We start from the raw sequence: 20,541 nt of genomic DNA on the forward strand, positions 1-20,541 counted from the left end.
GTGTGGCCTGCAGTGAATGACCTGGTCTAACTCTGTCATTGGTCCTAGGACTGAACTGTCCAGGAATATGCCTAATCCTGAGGGAAAGCATCAATATGGCTGTTGGTTATAGAGAGAAAGATGGCTTAGACTCAAGATCTCAAATCCTTGTCCAGCTGCATCTTGCTGCCGTGGGTTTTCAAGATCCACATACAGAGGGGATAACTTGACAAATTACTCTATAACTCTAAGGCTTTTTTTGCTTCTGAAGTCCCATGTGGAAGCCTTGTCACTTGTAAGCTGGACTAGACTGGGTAGATCTGCAGAGAATCTTTTTGCTTTTCTTTATAGACCCAATAGGCTCGATTAAATAGGCCATATCCTCCTTGGCTCCTTTTTCCTTTACCTATATTCTGATTTTTCCCATGAACATCTACCTTTCCTGTGGGGAGAAGAGGCAGAGGAAGTCAAGCTCAATGAAGTGTGATATTTTTTTCTCTAAAACCTAGAGCAGAGTTTCTTAAACTTCCTTTTAACGGAAAAACAAATGTCATAAATGTCAGCATGGACTTTTTTCTACTTTACTGTTATTTAAATACGTACAAACATAATATGAAGTATAAACTGCTTATGCTTTTTATCTGAAAACCGAAACATTTACAAATTAAAATACAAAGCTTTACAACCAATAAATTTCTATTTCAAATATGAATGTAATGAGAAAGTGACATTTTGCTCAAATAGAATCATAACAGACCCCCAACAGTCCTGCAGAACTTCTGCCCTCACTTGCTGTTTTAATTCCTTCAAGTACCACCCTATGGCTGTCAAGATAACAGACTTGTTGACTTTGCAAATCATGCATTTTGTCCTGCTGTGGATTTATCAACTCATGTTCCTAACAATCCCATATGGATGCTACTAACTCCCATTGGCCTTGGTGCCCTGGAAAGATTTTTAAAATATCAGCTTTATGTGTTCCCTGAAGTTCTGAAAGAACTCACTAGTAAAATTGCCTAGGCTTGGCACTTTTTTGAGATACTTTATTTTTCCCTCTCACAACATTCTCTCTCTCTCTTCCTTTTGCTCTTCTTGGTTCACTCTTGATCATTTGTTTTGCTAAAAAAAATCAGCCATTCATACAGATTTTTGAATTTATTTGCATAGGAGTTTATGATTTATTCTCATAATCCTTTGAATTTCCCATTGGTGTAGTTCTGTTTTATTTCTCATTCTTAATTTTTTGTCTGAAAGTTTTTTCTATTATTTTGTAAAAATATAGGTCCTAACTAGCTATTTCTAATTATTTTTTTCCATTTTTATTGTGGTAAAATGCACAGCATAAAATTTCGTGTCTTAACCATGGTAAGTGTACAGTTCAGTAGTTATTAAGCACATTTTTATATTTATATTATGCAACCATCACCACTGTCTACCTCCAGAACCCTTTTCATGTTGCAAAACTGAAACTCTATACCCATTAAACAGTAACTCCCCATTCCTCCCTGCCCTCAGTCTATGGCAGCCAACATCCCACTTCCTGTCTTTATGTTTTTGACTATTCTAAATACCTCATTTATAAGTGGAATCATACAGTATTTGTCCTTTTGTGACTGACTTCTTTTACATAGCATGATGTCCTCAAGGTTCATCAGTGTTGTAGTGTGTCAGAATCTCCTTGCTTTTTAAGACAGAATAATATGTCATTTTATGTATATGCTACATTTCTTTATCCATTCATCCATCAATGGACACCTGGGTTGCTTACAGCAATTTAGCTCTTGTGAATAATGATGCTATGAACATAAGTGTACAAATAATCTCTTAGAGATCTTGCTTTCAATTCTTTTGAGTATATATACATGAAAAGTGGGGAAAGGACTTGAATAGGCAGTTCTCCAAAGAAGATATACAAATGACCAACGAGCACATGAAAAGATGATCAACATCACTAATTATTAGGGAAAGACAGATCAAATCTACCATGAGATATCACATCACACCCATTAAAATGGCCACTAAAACATACACACACACAACAGAAAACAACAAGTGTTAGTATGTGGTGAACTTGGAACCCTTGTATACTGTTGGTGGGAATGTTGGTGGGTATAGCTGATGTGTGTATATATATATATATACACACACATACACACACACACACACACACACACACACACACCTGGATGTGGAATTACTGTATTATATGGTAATTATTTATAAATTAAAGGGTACATTTTTAATTTTTTGAGGATCTGACATACTGTTTTCCTTAGAAGCTCTATCATTTTACATTCCCTCCAACAGTATACAAGGGTTCCAAGTTCCTCATATACTCACCAACACTTGTTGTTTTCTGTTTTTGTTTTTGTTTATTTAATGGCCATGGTAATGGGTGTGATGATGTAGACTTGATTTCCCTTGCGCTAATAATTAGTGATGTTGAGCATCTTTTTATGTGCTTGTTGGTCATTTGTATATCTTCTTTGGAGAAATGCCTATTTAAGTCCTTTGTCCACTTTTGAATCTGGTTGTTTGTTTTGTTGCCATTGTTGAGTTTTAGGAGTTCTCTATATATCTTGATATTAATCCCCTATCAGATATATTATTTGCAAATATTTTTCCTAATTCTGTGTCTTGCCTTTTTACTCTGTTGATAGTATGTTTTGATGTACAAAATTTTTAAATTTTAATGAAGTCCAAATTGTCTATTTTTTCTTCTATTGCCTGTGCCTTTGGTGTCATATCCAAGAGATCATTGCCAAATTGAATGTTGTGAAAATTTTTCCTTGTGTTTTCTATTGAGCTTTATAGTTTTAGGTCTCATACTTAGGTCTTGTATACATTTTGAGTTTATGTGAGTTTATTTTTGTACATGGTGTTAGGTAAGGGTCCAGCTTCATTCTTTGGCATGTGGACATCCAATTTTCTCAACACTCTTTGTTGAAAAGACTGTCTGTTCCCCCACTGATTGGTATTGTTATCCTCGTCAATAATCATTTGACTACATATGTGAGGGTTTATTTCTGGAATCTTTGTTCTATTCCATTGGTCTGTATGTCTGTCTTTATGACAGTACTGTACTCTTTTGATTACTATAGATTTGTAGTCAATTTTGAAATCTAGAAGTATAAGTCCTTGGCTTTATTCTTCATTTTCAAGATTGTTTTGGCTATGCAGGGTCCCTTGATATTCTATATGAATTTTACGATGGGTTTTTCTATTTCTGCAAAAAAAAAGTATTAAGATTTTGATATGGATTGCATTAAATCTGTAGATCATTTTAGTTAATATTGACAGCTTAATAAAATTGTCTTCCAATTTACGTATATCTTTTCATTTATTTATGTCTTTAATTTTCAGAAATGTTTTGTAGCCTTCGTTGTACAGGTCTTTTACCTCCATGGTTAAGTTAATTTCCAAGTAATCTATTCTGTTCTTTTTGTTTTTGTTTTTGTTTTGAGACAGAATATCACTCTGTCACCCAGGCTGGAGCGCAGTGGCCTGATCTTGGCCCACTGCAACTTTCACCTCCCAGGTTCAAGAGATTTTCCTGCCTCAGCCTCCCGAGTAACAGATTACAGGCAGGTACCACCGTGCCCAGCTAATTTTTAGTAGAGATGGGGTTTCACCATGTTGGCCAGGCTGGTTTTGAACTCCTGACCTGAAGTGATCCACCCACCTTAGCTTCCCCAAGTGCTTGGATTACAGGCATGAGCCACCGCACTCAGCCAAGTAATTTATTCTTTTTGCTGCTATTATAAACAGAATTGTTTTCTTAATTTGCTGTTTGGATTGTTCATTGTTAGTATATAGAAATGCAACAGATTTTTTGTGTTGACTTTGTATCCTGATACTTTGCTAAATTCATTTATTAGTTCTAGTGGTGGTTTTGTGGAATCTTTAGGGTTTTCTGCACATAAGATCATATCATCTGCAAACAGAGATAATTTTACTTCTTCTCAATTTGAATGCCTTGCATTTTTTTTTCTGCCTAATTGCTCTAGCTAAGACTTCCAGTGCTATGTTTCATAGAAGTGACAAAAGTGGAGATCCTTGCCTTGTTCCTGATTGTAGAGGAAAAGCTTTCAGTCTTTCACCATTGCTTATGATATTTGGGGTGCGTTTTTTACGTATGGATTGTATGGATTGTTTGTTGTATATATGGATTGGATGGATTGGATGTTGTAGTTTTTGTCTACGTTTCTAAGGGTTTTTATCATGAAAGGGAATCAAATGCTTTTTCTGCATGAATTGAGATAATCACATGGTTTTTCTTCATTCTGTTAATGTTACATATTGCATTGATCATTCCAGGAATAAATCCCATTTGGTCATAGTGTATAATCTTTTTAATATGCTGCTGAATTCAGCTTGCTACTGTTTTGTTGAGAATGTGTGTGTGTGTGTGTGTGCATGCGTGCATGTGTGCACGTGTGCACATGCAGTTACTCTAATAAAAGTAAATGTTTTGGAGCATAGGCATAGTGTGTTTTCTGATTCAGAGATTCTATTTTGTTCTAGTAGGACCTTTAATTTTTACCAGTTTCTTCATTCTTACCTTCATCACAAGTTTCCAGAGGATGCTACCTTGGTCCAGATCTCACTCCTTTCCCCAGCAATCTGCCTTTCCCAACATTGGCAGCTTTGATCCTCTGTACCATGAAGTCCCTTCTTTTCAACTCCCCAGAAGTCAGTATTATTAATTAACCAGGTCTCAGGCATGTTCTGAGTTTATCTACACTTGCTCTCTGTGGATGATGAGGATTTTTACATGTTCATAAGAGATATTGGTCTGTAGTTTTGTTCATAAGAGATATTGGTCCGTAGTTTCATTTTCTTGTGGTGTATTTGCCTGGCTTTGGTATCATGGTAATCCTGGCCTCTTAGAATTAGTTAGGGAGTGTTGTCTCCTCTTCAAGTTTTTGAAAATGTTTGAGAAGGATTGGTGTTAGTTCTTTAAATGTTTGTAAAACTCACCAATGAAGCCCTCCAGTCCAGAGCTTTTCTATGTTGATCGTTTTTTTATTACTGATTCAATCTCCTTTCTAAGTCTACTCAGGTTTTCTATTTCTTTGTGACTTGGTTTGGTAGGTTTTATGTTTCTAGGTATTTGTCCATTTCATGTGTGTTATCCAATTTGTTGGTGTACAGTTGCTGATAGTACTCTCTTATAATTCTTTTTATTTCTGTAGAATCAGTAGTAATGGCCCCACTTTCATTTGTATGTTTTAGTAATCTTCTCTCTTTTTTCTTAGTCCATCTACCTAAAGGTTTGTCAATTTTGTTGATCTTTTCAAAGAAACAACTTTTGTTGTTTTTCTGGATTATTTTCCTATTTTCTATTTCATTCATTTCTGCTCAGCTCCGTTCTTCTGCTAGTATGGGGTAATTTTGTTCTTTTTCTAATTCCTTAAGTTGTAAAGTTAGGTTTTTCATTTCAAATCTTGTTTTTTTTTTAAATGTTTCTATAGCTATAAATGTTCTCCTTAGCATTCCTTTTATTGTATCCCATAAGTTTGGTATATATTTCCATTATCATTCATTTCTAAATATTTTAAAATTTCCTTTGTGATTTCTTCTTTGATCCATTGGTTAAGAGTATGTTGTCTAATTTCCTCAAATTTGTGAATTTTTCAGTTTTCCTTCTGTTATTGATTTGTAACTTTATTCTGTTATGGTCAAAGAAGATACTTGTATGACGTCTATCTTTTAAAATCTATTGAGACATAATTTGTGACCTATGTATGTTCTATCCTGGAAAATGCCCCATGTGCACTTCAAAAGAATTTGTATTCTGTTGTTGATATATAGAGTGTTCTGTACATGTCTGTTAAATCTAGGTAATTTATTGTGTTGTTCAAGCCCTCTGTTTCCTTACTTATCTTCTGTCTAGTTGTTCTATCCATTATTGAGAGTGGGATATTGAATTCTGCAAATATTATTGTAGACATTTCTATTTCTCCTTTCAATTCTGTCCATTTTTGCTGTATATTCTTTGATGGTCTGTTATTAGATACGTAAATGTCTACAGTTATATCTTCTTACTATGTTGAACCATTTATTAATATATAATATCCTTCTTTGTCTCTCATAATCATTTTTGATTTAAACTTTATGTCATCTGGCATTAATATAGCCACCACTGCTCTATTTTGGTTATTATTTGCATAGAATACTCTTTTTCATTCTTTCACTTTTAACCTATTTGTGCCTTTAGAACTAAAGTAAATCTCCTGTAGAAAGCAGATAGTTGGATTGTGGTTTTTAAAAAATCCATTCTGCCTATGTATGTCTTTTGTCTATGTCTCTCCAGTTTAACCTATTACATTTAAAGTAATTGCTGATAAAGAGGGACTTACTTTTATCATTTTGCTATTTGTTTTACATATGTCTTAAAGCTGTTTTCCTCTCGTTTTTTGCATTAATGTCTTCTTTTGTGTTAATTTTATTGTGGTGAAACATTTAAATTTCTTTCTCATTTCCTCTTGGCTACTGTCCTTCCTTTTCAACTTACAGAACTTCCTTTAGCACTTCTTACAGGGCAGGTCTAGTGGCAACAAACTCCCTCAGCTTTTGTTCATTGGTGAATGCCTATTTCTCCCTCACTTTTGAAGGACAGTTTTGCCAGATAGAGAATTCGTGGCTAGCAGGTTTTTGTTTTGTTTTGTTTTGTTTTTCCTTTAGCACTTTAAATATATTAGCCCACTGTCTTCTAGTCTTCAGAGTTTCTGATGACAAATCTGCTAATAATCTTATTGGGAATCCCTGTTTATAATGAGTTGCTTTTTTCTTGCTGCTCTCCAAATTCTCTGTTTGTCTTTGTCTTTCAACAGTTTAGACACAATGTATCTCGGTAGGGGTCTCTTTGGGTTCTTGCTACTTGGATTTCATTGAGTTTCTTGGATATTTATACTCATGGCTTTTATCAGATTTGAAAAGTTTTCAGTCATTATTTTTTCAAATACTCTATGTGGCCCTTTCTCTTTTCCTTTTGAACTCTTATAATGAGTGTGTTTGTCTGCTTGAAGATGTTCCATGGGTCCCTTGGTCTCTGTTCAATTTTCTTTAGTCTTTCTGTTCTCAGACTCAATAATTTTCATTGTTGTGTGTTTAGGTTTCCTGATTCTTTATTCCACCTGCTCCAATCTGTCTCTGAGTTCCTCTAGTGAATTTTTTATTTCAGTTTTTGTACCTTTCAGCTCCAGAAAGTTTCCCAAAAGGGAGGAAAGAGAAAAATTGAAGTGGATGGGGAGAAGGAAAAGGGCCCCAGCCTTTTAAATCCCCTAGAAGTCACTTCAATCCAAGAGAAAGTGGCTTAGAACAATGAGAGGAAGTGTAACACCATTAGCTGCCACCATTTTGTCTGCTTTTGTGTGATCAGAAGCAGCAATCAGTGATCAGTGCACAGATATCCAATATTTGGATGACAGGGTAATTTTTTGCAGGATGCTCTCCTGAGTCCTATACCATAAGCTGTTTGCAGGCTATTTTAGGAACACAGGCATAATTACCTGCCTCAGGGGTAAGGAGTGTTGAATGGGAAGCTGTTGCTGTGCTAAGAGCTGTAATTGACCAAAATTTAAGATAATTTACAGTCCAAGCCTTCCCTTGGAAATTGTAAGCAGTGAGTAGACTCCAGAGTTCCAAAACAGCCATATCAAACAGATTCTGCCAGTGCAGTACTGTTGTCTAAGTGGGGAGAGAGATTTCCAGAGCTTCTTGCTCTGTCATCTTCCTAGAATCCTCTCTTTAATTAATTCTTGCTTTATTAAAGTATATCTTGTTTTTTCCTAGGGTTTATGCTCTAATATCTTTTATGTGTAGTTGAAATACATTTTTTTTCTTATTTATTAGTTAATATATTTATAACTAGTAGAATCATTGCTTCAAGTATGTATACCTTAGGCCAATCTTCAAAGACTTTGAAATATAATATTATTATTATCATTATTTTCCAACTATTCTGTTTCGAGTCAAGGGTAGTGTGTTTGAAGTTTTTATTCACAATAACCTCAATTTTTGTTAATGATTAATTTCTAGTTTTTATATCTTTGGTTAAAGGGTGATATCTATAGTCTACCTTTTATAGAATTATGACTATTTCCTTTATAACAAATTTGTGAATGTTTCATGAGCATTTAAACAGAAGATATGCTCTCTGTTTCTTAGCACAAAATTTATTATAAGGTTATTGTTATTTTCCCCTTGTATTTTATTTCTGGCTATTTTTATTTTGTATCATTCACCATTTTTTTTTTTTGGTGCAAAAAGCTTCATGCCAGTTATATCTTAACTGATTTATATATGTCCTTAATAATTGAAAGTTACCACTTTTTCCCATCTAATGCTATTTAATATTAAATTCTATTTGTCAATATTATTATGGATAATACTGTTTGCATTTTTTATAATGTAAATATTATATGACAATATTGCTGATGTTAATATAGTGATACTAATGTTAATATTGGTATCATTAATAATGTTATATTAATTATTGTTACTTGCATATTTTTATTGAATTATTAGGTGTAGTTTGGCCTATCTTTAGTACTCAATAATTTTTTTTGAGAAAGTTGGTATTGGTTTGGTATTTTTAACTGGTCTGAAAGCTTTTTATAATATTTGAAATGTATTACACCTATACTCCTAGTCTGTTTTATTACTAGTGACTAGTTTTGCATTTTTAAAAGCAACTTAGAACTAAATGATGTTATCAAGTTCAAAAAATAAAATTATTAATGTACTGTCTTCACTGAAAGATGAGGAACTTAGGATGTGTTTCCTCCCAACTCCCAGTTTGTCTTAATAAGCTCTGGGTATTTTGTCCAGGTCTACTGTCCTCTATTGCATCAATTCTAAGACTCGTGTTTTAACATATTACTATCTCTGAAATTGGGATGTTTTAAACAATCGCATGTTAAAATAGCTGCTGCCTTGTGATGGTAGTGATTAAGCTGTCTTTGCCTGTGCATGCAGGTATTTGGCATGACTGAATAAGTACAACTTCTTGACATTTCAGTCAACACACCACTTAAGGACCATTTGAGGAGAGAATAAAGGTGTTACTTGTCTGAAAATCTTCCTTTGATGCCTCCTGTTAAGAACAAGAACATGACAGCCTCAAATTATACAGAATGGATATTGATGGCTTAGAGAAAAAGTCCTGGAGACAGCAGAGAAACTCCCTTAAGAAATTAGGCATCATCATCAGTTCTCTCAATGGTGCAGAGAACTATTCTGTGTGGAAAACTTCAGACATCTACAGCAATGAATCAAATAGTGATTCAAAAGATTCTGGCTTGAAATGGGAAAATGTTTTAGGAATAGCTTTATTAATTTATTTAGCTTATTGTTTCCCTTTTATGTTATTAGAGAGTGATACATGATAAATCAGTCTTTAAGCACACTTTAAACAAATATAAAATAAAAATTCTAAGTAATAAAAAGGCATTGTTTTTAGTTAGCAGCGTACTTTCTTAGTGGGATATAAAATTGTGGTGCCACTTGGAATTTATGCTGTCATAATTTGTTAACTTGGAAGTTCCTTTTAAAAAATGTTTTACTATATATAGTTTTTTTTCAAGAATGAATAGTTTGCCTTTTAGTTTATTAATCCCAGTTATCACAACTAATTAAACTTAATTTGTTCATGACATAACTTCCTCATTCATAACTTTTTAATGCTAATTCATCTATCAGCTGGAAGCAGTCTTAAAATAGATTTTTCTTTTCTGAAAAGAGTTTTGACTGATAAATTTCCTGAGGTTTGGTATATATATATATATATATATATATATATATCTATCTATCTATCTATCTATCTATCTATCTTCAGCATCTAATAATTATCTACTAACTCCAGATTTTTTCTATTCATCTTACTACTCAAAGAGGTTTTGCATTTTTTGTTACTTTCTATAGCCATTTAATACAAGGGACAGCTTGTCTGGAAAATGATTTGAGTCACCCTTTTTTTCCATCAGAAATTAATCTTTTTTGTTTCATGTAGAATTACCAAGACGTTAAAGGTTTCCCTGCTCTATTTTAAGTGTGTGTGTGTTTTCTTTGTAGGTAAGCAATTTTTTGAGTGTTTGTATGCCTTTTATATAGGCCCTTTATTTAAGGTTCCTGTGTACTCATATTTAAACAGAGTTTAACATTCCAATTGGGCCTAATATTTGCCAGAAAAAAATAGCATAGATAGAATCTTCCTTACCTAATCCCTCTTTTCCTGACCAATGTTTGAATGCCATCTTTAACTTATTCTAAAGGGCTGGAAGCTACTTCAAGGATGTGGAAGGAAGGCAGGAGCCATAGAAAATTGCAATGAGGGAATTTTGTGGGTGTGTGCTTTTCCTCTACATTGCTTGAAACTCCTGCTTTGAGAGCCAGTTCCACACAGATACAATTACTACTGTCTCCTGTTTGTGAGGAGGGAGTATCAGTTGAATTTTAGTTTCTTCTCTTGTTTTAGATTAAGCCCCCTAATTTGGTGAGAAATCTGGTTAAGTGAAGTTCCTTGAAAGCAGCACACAACTTTTCTCTAAAGCTGTGAAATTGGTAATTAGAATTTTTTATATTTTATACTTATAAATACTATATAATATTTTGTATGTTTTATATTTATGTCTTATACGTTTAACGTACAATATAAACTATTTTAACATTTTAGATTTAATATTTTGTATATATGTTAATATATATATTCTGCCCTGCAAAACCAGACTCCACACAGCATAATCAAATAAACCTTTTATTTACAGGCAAAGGATATAGTACAAGAAGAAAAAGAGAATACAGATGACATCGGGGGTCCAAGAGACATTCCATATTTAAGCTTCATAATGTCCTTATTTGCACACATATACCACACTGCCTTCATTTTCTCCAGCTGATAGATTTGTGTAAGAAATCTTGACTTTGAGAGTTCAATGTCATTCCCAACAGGGTCTTTATGTCTGTCTGGTCATGTTATCAGCCAGTCTTACTTAATGTATTAGGCCAGTTGGAAACCATCATTAAAGAAACTGACCCTGGTGATCACCAGAGTAGTTTCAGACTATAAACAACACATCATAAATCCCACTGCCCTTATCTTGGCCCAAAGACAAAACTGGACATTCTGATGACCCCAGAGATTATGACAGTGTTTTCTGGTCTAATTAAACCATAGTCTTCATATACCTTTACCACGCCTCCTTCCTCCAATTAGGAAGCTAAGTGGGTAAGAAAGAAAAAATAAAGGCAGAGCATAACGATGTCACCCATCTTTGGCCTCTTAGCCGGAGCTGATCCTTACATGGGCAGTAGACTATAAGTGTGTTAATTATTTTTCCTACTGCAGAGCTTCTTCACGTTGGAATGGTGAATAGGTACACATTTCTCAAAGCTCAAAGTGCAAGTCTAGGTATATTCTCTAGTTTCAATCTTGGTGAAATTTTTTTCTATGAATTCATTACTTTTTAGTTTATTTCAGGGAGGGGGTGGTGTTTTTTAATGAATTAATACAAGTGTCAGCATCTTTCATGGACATCCAGACAATTTCTTAAAGATGGGAGAGGTAAAAAATCTTCAGGAGAAACTGTGCCTGAACTGTGAGTATCCAGAAGCCATTGACCATGTTAATGGTGGAGCCAATATGAAGTACTTGCTAAATCATGTGGTGCGTGAAAGGAAGAGCAATGTTATAATTGCATCCTCCTAAAGACTACATAACCATCATCACTCATCATCTCTCCCTGGTCCCTTCCACCTGCCAAACCCCCATAAAAACCCATAATTGATGATACATATTAGTTTATAATTAACGGCGTACCTAACTGTTCTCTACTAGTCTGAGCCTCTGTACAGAGAAATGTCAGTTTTGTATTCCTGGTTCCTGGAAAAGTACATATAGAATAGTATAAATACAATAAATGTTTGAATTATCGTATAACTTGAGTCTAAATTTTAAGTTAGTATCCTGTATTAAGAACTGGGTTGATCAAATGGTTCTTTCTTTGCACATATCAAGGCTTTCGACTATTCCCAACCAGGTCTTCCCAAATTTGGGCATATTCCTGCCTCTGCCTACCCTGTTCTAATTTGGCACTCTAAAGATAGTTCATAAAAAGCAAGCCAAAGATAGAAAAGAGAGCTAAGGCTACAGGAGGAATTTACTCTTTAACATTTGGGGGAAGGAAAATGAGGCTTGTCTACAGCAGGGACTGGCTGTCTTCCAGAAATGGTTTCCCAAGGTGTTCCCTACCTCTCTTTTTCTTGGATATCTTTTTGCATTATAGATAGCCTTGGGAAGGGTGTCACCTTTATCCTATCAGTTCCACCTAATCAACTGTAGTCATCTGAGAGCCAGAATTATTATTGATAGAGGGGCCTGGGAAAGGAGAAAAGGACCAGGAGAGAGGAAGGTATACTTATTGCAGAGGAGAAAAGCCAAAGAACGTTTGCCCATGGGCAGTCTTAGCTATTTAAAATCACCCACTTCTTCATCCGGCTCCCTTGGCATATGTATCAGCCCATGGATTGGGAGGTGTAGGACCATTCTTTTTCTTTCTGGAAGGAAAGCACTGACATTTAAGCTCTGTGCGGTCTGCTCAGGGGCTGCCCAGTTTGTCCAAGCTTTAGGATATTAGAGAGATTACGCATTTGTGGTCTCAAGTTAGGAAACTGTTGAAGAACAAATATGTCCCTTATTAGAGGGCCTCTTTAGATGTTTAGGGTACTCACAATCCTTGCCAACCTGATGTCCTTGGAAGCTCCAGTCTGGCTGTAAGGAGATGATGAGGGGTTCTGTGTGTTGGAGGTGATGACCTCATTGAGTCTCAGCCACAGCAGGGCATTATGCAGGAAAGAATTCAATGGAGTTATTTAATACCTTTCCCTATTCCCACAAAAATCTGGAACTGGGTTCTGAACTGAGAAGTCTGGGTTCCCTGAGAATTGGACATCAGTTCAACCACAGGAAGCCTCTAAATTTAGCACTCTACTCACAGAGGGCCAAGAAAAATTCACAAATGTCACAAACTTAGGAACTTAGGTATCTAGTCTTCTCTGTCATTTTGTAATGAGAAACTGAGGCCCATAGGTAAAACATCTCACCTCCAGTCACACAGGTAAGTACATGGCAGGGCAAGGACAGGCACCCAGTTTTCCCAAGTCCAGTGGCCTTTTCATGATACCCATTTCTGTGTATCATTTCATTGATTTCTGTGACAGCTGGCCCTTTGCCCCTCATCACCAAATCTTAACTCTTTGGACTTTAATAATGTGCAAAATTAAGAGGAAGTCTGGCATCGGGAGCTTTACACAACTCAGAGAGAACTGAGGAAAGTAGTTAGCATGTTAACTGTGCCTCACCTTGACCTGAAGTGAAGAGCACTCACCAAGCCACAACCTGCTATCTGCACACCCCACACCATGAGGTAAAGGACAGCCAAGGAAGAGAAAGGAAAGAAAAGCAATCCGGCAGGGAGATCAGGGAGCGAAACGAACAGAGAAACGAACAGAGGTTTTTTCCAAGGGCCTTCTATTTTTCTACAATCTCCACACATTCAGTACTGAGACACATTAAGAAGGGCCCACTGAGGCCATCATTCACCCTACTCTCGGGCTGCTTCCATCCTCCAGGCTTCTAGAAGTTGAGAAAGTATGAGCTTCATTGTTAATTATATTACAGAAAATGGGACCAGCTGGGTTGCACCCACTCCCCTGTGTCTGGACCTCCTGCCTATGTAGCAGAAAAGGATCTTTCTGCTGAATTAATATTCACCTCAGAGCCCTGGGAGATGTCTGATGAAAAGTAGTTTTTGAAGAGTCTTGTGACAACCAGCAATTTCGGCAAAGCTATGTCCTCAAGAGTCTTCCAGATTTCCCCAACTCTACAGAATGCTTTTCTTTTTAAATACCATAATCCCATAATCTTTCTCAAAAATTATAAAACTGTATTTTATTTTTCTCATTTATTTGGGAGTTTGGTAAGAAACGTTTGGGAAGAAATGCTTTTATGGAGAAACTACTCAGATTTGAAACTACCTAGTTTATACTACCAGAAGACAGAGATTCAGGTTAGCTAGTTTGCTAATCCTCACAGTTTCAGAGATATGCCTTGTATTTTTCCAGATTATAGGCTTTGAGGACATTCACCAATAGCATCCTCCTCTGAATGTATTTTGGTCCTTTTGCTAAGCTATGTCTTATTTTATAGTCCTCCAAATGATGATCTATGACTTCTCTGCCTGCTCATTAGAGGAAGAAAAGCTCAGATGCATTGCTAACTATTATTTCAATGCCAGTGGAACTGGAGAAATGCTTGAAAAAGTAATCTCAGGTTGTAAAAAAGAACTATCTTTTTTTGGTTGCAGGAGCTAGAACCCTATTATTCTGAGAGTAAATTTTCTATTATTCCTATCTAATTCATTTTCTTGGGAGATGAAACTCCCTCTTTTTTTTGGTGGGGAGACAGGGTCTCACTTTGTCACCCAGGATGATGATGATGGAGTGCTGTGGCACGATCACGGCACACTGAAGCCTCGACCTCCTAGGCTCAAGCGATTCTCTCACTTCAGCCTCCTGAATAGCTGGGACCACAGACACACACCACCTTACCCAGCTAATTTTTTGTATTTTTTTGTAGAGACAGGGTTTTGCCGTGTTGCCCAGGCTGGTCTCGAAGTCCTGGGCTCAAGCGACCCGCTCACCTTGGCCTCCCAAAGTGCTGGGATTACAGGTGTGAGCCCCTCACTGCTCCTGGCTCCCTCATTATTATATTTCCTGAAGTTGACATGATTTGGGTCCTTTACTTAGAAATTGTCATCACACAATTTCAGAAAGGTAAAGAAATCCATTTTTATTGGCAACTTTGGGCTATGCTTCATCCTGGCAAAAATTTAAAAGCAGTACACTTCGACGTGGCTCACTTTCCTGCACACCTCAGGCAGCTTGTACAGACTATCCAAGAAAAAATGAGGAGGAAAGTGCTCCATCAAGGAAGAGGGATGAGATGGGAGCATAATTCACACACTAAGAACTGAGTTCTAAAGTCACTTGAGCTTTCTGGAGCTCAGTTACCTGTAAAACAAGGAAGAATGAATGGTCTTTATGGAAAATGAATGGCAGAATAAGTGATTTGTCAAGTTCATTGAACTATAAATTCCATTTTTACTGTCATTTATTTATAACAAAGTTCAGATATAAAGAAAAATCTGAACATACAGTAGGCACAGATAAACCTATAGCAAATATTCACATGTGGTTTGAATGCATTTATTAATCTCTGTACTTATTAGAATTAATAATAATACTAAAATGATTTGGAGAATTAATGATTAATAACAGTGGAAAATAGCCTTCCCATTATTGTTAGAGGATGGTGCCATCATGATGCTAAATGCCTATCTGAGGGGAAGCTCATAAATATTACTTGACAATATTACTTGATAAATATTTGTTGAAAAAAGAAATGTAGTAAAGAAGCAAGGATGGCTGGGCATGGTGGAGCATGGCTGTGGTCCCAGCTAACTTGGGATGCTGAGGTGGGAGGATTGTTTGAGGGAAGCTGAGTTTGCAGTGAGCCAAGATTGCACTACTGCACTGCAGCCTGGGTGACAGAGTGAGACCCTCTCCAAAAAAAGAAAAAAAAAAAGAGAAAAAAAAGAAGCAGCAGCAACGAAAGGAGGGAGGAAGGGAGAAAGTTTACTTTGATATGCCATATGATTGAAACAAATGCTCTTTTTTCAAAGACAAGGATTATACTCCTTTGCATTCCAGCTACTTTGGTCCATTGTAACTTGGTAACCTTTGCCTTGAAAACAAAAAGAATCCCTGGATATAATCTCCTTCCTTGTAATTTTTTTTATAAGATGCCAGTATGGTAATAGGTCCATTAGCAAGTAAGTACAGGCACATCTTATTTTATTATACTTCTCAGATACTGCATTTTTTACAAATTGAAGGTTTGTGGCAACCCTGCATCAAGGAAGTCTGTTGACATCATTTTTGCAATAGTATGTACTCACTTTATGTCTCTGTGTCACATTTTGGTAATTCTTGCCATATTTCACACTGTTTCATTATTATCTCTGTTATTAAAATCTGTAGTCAACGATCTTTGATGTTGCTATTATAATTACTGGGGGCACCATGAACCACACTTATATAACACAGTAAACTTAATAAATGTGTGTATGTTCTGATTGCTCCAACAACCAACCTTTCTCCAATCTTTCTCCTTCTTCTCAGGCCTCCTTAGTCCCTGAGACACAATATTGAAAGTAGATCAATTAATAACCCTAAAATAGCCTCCAGGTATTTCAAGTGAGAGGAAGTTGCAATCTTTCACTTTAAATCAAAAGCTAGAAATGAATAAGCTTAGTGAGGAAGGTGTGTCAAAAGCTGAGACAGGCTGAAAGCTAAGCCTCTTATGCCAAACAACCAAGTTGTAAATGCAAAGGAAAAGTTCTTGAAGGAAATTAAAAGTGCTACTTTGTGAATGCATGAATGATAAAAAAGTAAAACAGCCTTACTGCTGATATGGAGAAACTTTGAGTCATCTGAATAGAAGATCAAGCCAGCCACAAAATTCCCTTAAGCCAAAGCCTAGTTCAGAGCAAGGCCCTAACTCTCTTCAATTCTATGAAAGCTAAAGGGAGGTGAGGAAGCTTCAGAAAAAAAGTTTGAAGGTAGCAGAGTCTGGTTCATGAGTTTGAAGAAAAGAAGCCTTGTGCATCCATAAAAGTGCAAAGTAAAGCAGCAAATGTTGATGTAGAAGCTGCAGTAAGTTATCCAGAAGATCTAGTTAAGATAATTAATGAAAGTGGCTACACTAAACAATAGATTTTCAAAAGAGATGAAACAGCCTTATATTGGAAGAAGATGCCATCTCAGACTTACGTATCTAGAGAGGAGTAGTCAATGCCTCACTTCAAAGCTTCAACCAACAGGCTTACTCCTTGTTAGAAGTTAACGCAGCTGGTGATTTTAAGTTGAAATCAATGCTCATTTACCATTTCCCCAAATCCTACGACTTTTCAGAATTATGCTAAATCTAATCTGCCTGTGCTCTATAAATGGAGCAACAAAGCCTGAATGACAGCATGTCTATGGACAGCATGGTTTACTGGACATTTTAAGCTCACTTTTTGAGTCTTACTGCTCAGAAAAAAAAAGAATCTTTTAAAAATATTGCTGTTCGGGCCGGGCGCAGTGGCTCATGCCTGTAATCCCAGCACTTTGGGAGGCCGAGGCCAAAGTCAGTAGTTCGAGACCACCCTGACTAACATGGTGAAACCCCATCTCTACTAAAAATACAAAAATAAGCTGGGTGTAGTGGTGGGCGCCTGTAAATCCAGCTACTCAGGGGTCTGAGGCAGGAGAATCACTTGAACCCCGGAGGCAGAGGTTGCAGTGAGCCAAGATCGCACCACTGCACTCCAGCCTGGGTGACAGAGCGAGACTCCATCTCGAAAAAAATATATATATATATAATATATATTATATATTTTATATATGTATATAAAATATATATATAAATGATCAGTTCCAGACCACTATAATATATATATATATAGCTGTTCACTGACAATATACCCAGTCACCCAAGAACTTGGATAGAGATATACAAGGAGATTAATATTTTCGTGCCTGCTAACACAATACCTATTGTGCAGCACAGGAATCAAGGAGTCATTTGCACTTTTCGTAAGACTATAACTGTCACAGATTGTGATCCCGCTAATGGATCTGGGCAAAGCAAATTAAAAACCTGGAAAGGATTCACCATTCTAGATGCTGTTAAGAACATCGTGATTCATGGGAGAAGGTCAAAATAGGAAGATCAATGAGTTCGGAAACTGATTCCATCCCTCATGGATGATTTTAAGAGGCCCAAGACTTCATTGGAGGAAGCTCTGCTATAGACATAGTGGAAATAGCAAGAGAACTGGAATTAGAAGTGGAGCCTGAAGATGTGACTGAATTGCTGCAATCTCATTACAAAAGTTTAATAGATGAAGACTTGCTTCTTATGAATGAACGAAGAAAGTGATTTCTTGAGATGGAATCTACTCGCGTAAGTTGCTATGTACATTATTGAAATGACAACAAAGGATTTACAACATTACATAAATTTCATTAATAAAGCAGCAACAGGGTTTGAGAGGATTGGCTCCAATTTCAAAAGAAGTTGTACTACTGGTAAAATGCTATCATACAGCATCACATGCTGCAGAGAAATCTTTCATGAAGAAAAAGTCAATCGAAGTGGCAAACTTCATTGCTGTCTTATTTTAAGAAATTGCCACCATCACCCCCAACCTTCAGTAACCACCACCCTGATCATTCAGCAGCCATCAACATCAATGCAAAAAGATTATGATCATTAGCAATTTTTAGCAATAAAGTATTTTTAAAATAAAACATGTACATTTTTTGGACATAAAGCTATTATACACTTAATAGACTACTAAAGAGTGTAAACATAACTTTTATATGCACTGAGAAACCAAAAATTTTGTGTGACTCACTTTATTGCGATATCCACTTTATTATGGTGGTCTGGAACTGATCCTGTAATATCTCCATGGTATGCCTGTGCTGTACAGGGGGTAAAGTGTGAGGGGTCAAGAATTTTCATGCCAGAAATTCCATAGCAGCCTACTAGAACTCTGGAAGTATCGCCTTTGGCTGCAGTGCCAGATTCTGGTGAGGATTTCCTGGACCCCGATTTATATCTGAAAAAACACTAAAAATAACAGAAGCAGGGCAGGAAGTGGCTATGATAACAAAGCTGGGCTTGGTACTTTCTCTGGCTTTTGTGGCCAATATTACTGGACTCCCGTGGTATCAAGTTTCATAAAAGAAACTCATACAAAGCAGAGATATCTTAATTATTTTCAGACTGGCATTTCAAAAAGTGTCAATTTAAGTAAGTATTATAAGTTATTTGTTCTTTGTTTTATCTTTTCAGATGTTTCTTGAAAACATTGTGGTGTGATCTTTAACAGAGTTTTCACTTACCAATTAATACAAAAAATAAGAAAAAGCTTTAAATACATATTTTATAAAATTTTATATGCCAAATAAGGTCCTTCATATAAGAAAAGGAAAATAATATCAATTTTCAGTACTATTATTTAGCACTAGAGCCCCTCCAGTTAGAAAAACAATTCTTTTAAATGTCTTTATGATTTGAGGTTTCAATAATAACTCATGAATAGGTGAAAGTTTGCTATTTATTTAGTCTTAGAAAAACACTGAAAGAAAAAGGCAGGAAATGTAGTACGCAGTGTGGAAGAATGGAGCTGGCCACATGTAGTTTTAGCAGCTGCAGAGGAAACTGGCTGAGTCTAAGGTTACATATTTCTGCTCAGTAAGGGTATCCATGGTGATAACTCTCATGATGACGGTAGTCATCCTGGTAACCATCCTGGTATCCTTGGTGGTAACTATGGTAACCATAGCCTGCATACTCATCTTCTGGGCAGCGCATCCCCAGTGACTGCTGAATCGCCATTTCCTGTCTCCGAAGTTGCATCGAATCAATTAAATCGTACACAATCACCATGGACCACATTGGGGAAGGATACCAGGATTTGACATTTCCGTCTTTTCCGACTAGAAGCATGGAGAAGTACTCCGGGCTCACTTGAAAATAGTTACGAATGTCTTTCACCAAATGGGCTGGTACGTCTTCTCGCTCAACAACAGAGCTCCCTAGAATAACATTGGAATAGTTATTGTTAGTAGATTAAACAGTCAGAGCCCATGAAAACATTAAAGTGTGAGGAAATTACTGTGAGAATAGGGAGGACCCATGAGCCTCTTCTCTTTAGTTCAAAATCTAATTAAAGAAGTTTGCTGGGGCTTTTTCTACTAGAAATTAAATGTCCCTGCTTTCTGCAACACGATTAGGGTCAAACTTTGGGGCACTCGATGTGTCTTTTGTAGGAATGTTACAAAGTATAAAACCAATTCCTTAATTTAATCCTGGCAAGACTAATTTCTTTAAAATTTGTCACTAACAAGGATTATATAGTTTATCTTTCTAAGTTTATTTCCAATTAGCTTAGTTACTTCTCTGTAACTACAGCTTACCTTTTGACACATCTTAATGATAAAAAGCTTATTTCATTGTTAAAAGTGAAAATATCAATTCTGTTAAGATCTAGAGGAATATTTAAACTATTGTGAATAGTGAAAAGAATAGAGGGGAAGGAGAAAAGGAGCTGACACTTTCAAGTCTGCTGTGTCCGGCATTCTGCCAAGTATTTTACACACATTATTTAAAGAGCTTGGTCTTGGAAGAAAGGACTGGATTTGCTTTCTGAAAACTTCAGTCAAGAGTCTTTTTTTGTTTTGTTTTGTTTTGTTTTGTTTTGTTTTGTTTTGTTTTTGAGATGGAGTCTTGCTCTGTCACCCAGGCTGGAGTGCAGTGGTGTGATCTCGGCTCACCGCAATCTCCACCTCCGAGGTTCAAGCGATTGTCCTACCTCAGCCTCCCAGGTAGCTGGGACTACAGGCGCATGCCACCATGCCTGGCTAATTTTTGTATTTTTAGTAGAG

The 20,541-nt window shown here is 36.3% G+C and overlaps 1 protein-coding gene across 3 annotated transcripts in view, besides 1 other annotated feature; it reads right to left on the minus strand.

The window, feature by feature from the left end:
- The window catches only part of CCDC80 (coiled-coil domain containing 80), a 44,347-nt gene continuing 34,531 nt past the window's right edge, over nt 10,726-20,541 (minus strand). For all 3 annotated transcript variants that reach the window (NM_199512.3, NM_199511.3, XM_047447495.1), the window contains one exon: nt 10,726-19,692. In NM_199512.3, coding sequence (NP_955806.1) covers nt 19,346-19,692 — 347 coding nt within the window. In that variant the 3' untranslated portion in view covers nt 10,726-19,345. The remainder of the gene's footprint in view (nt 19,693-20,541) is intronic.
- Nucleotides 17,817-17,986: an enhancer, noted in NCBI's record as "experimental_64338 CRE fragment used in MPRA reporter constructs". NCBI's record gives its function as "activates a minimal promoter by MPRAs in K562 erythroleukemia cells, with activity observed for both the introgressed and non-introgressed 3:112322820 variant alleles {active_cell/tissue: K562}" and the evidence as "EXISTENCE:reporter gene assay evidence [ECO:0000049][PMID:34662402]".

Source organism: Homo sapiens, chromosome 3 (assembly GCF_000001405.40).
Source record: "Homo sapiens chromosome 3, GRCh38.p14 Primary Assembly".
Classification (NCBI taxonomy): Eukaryota; Metazoa; Chordata; class Mammalia; order Primates; family Hominidae; genus Homo; species Homo sapiens.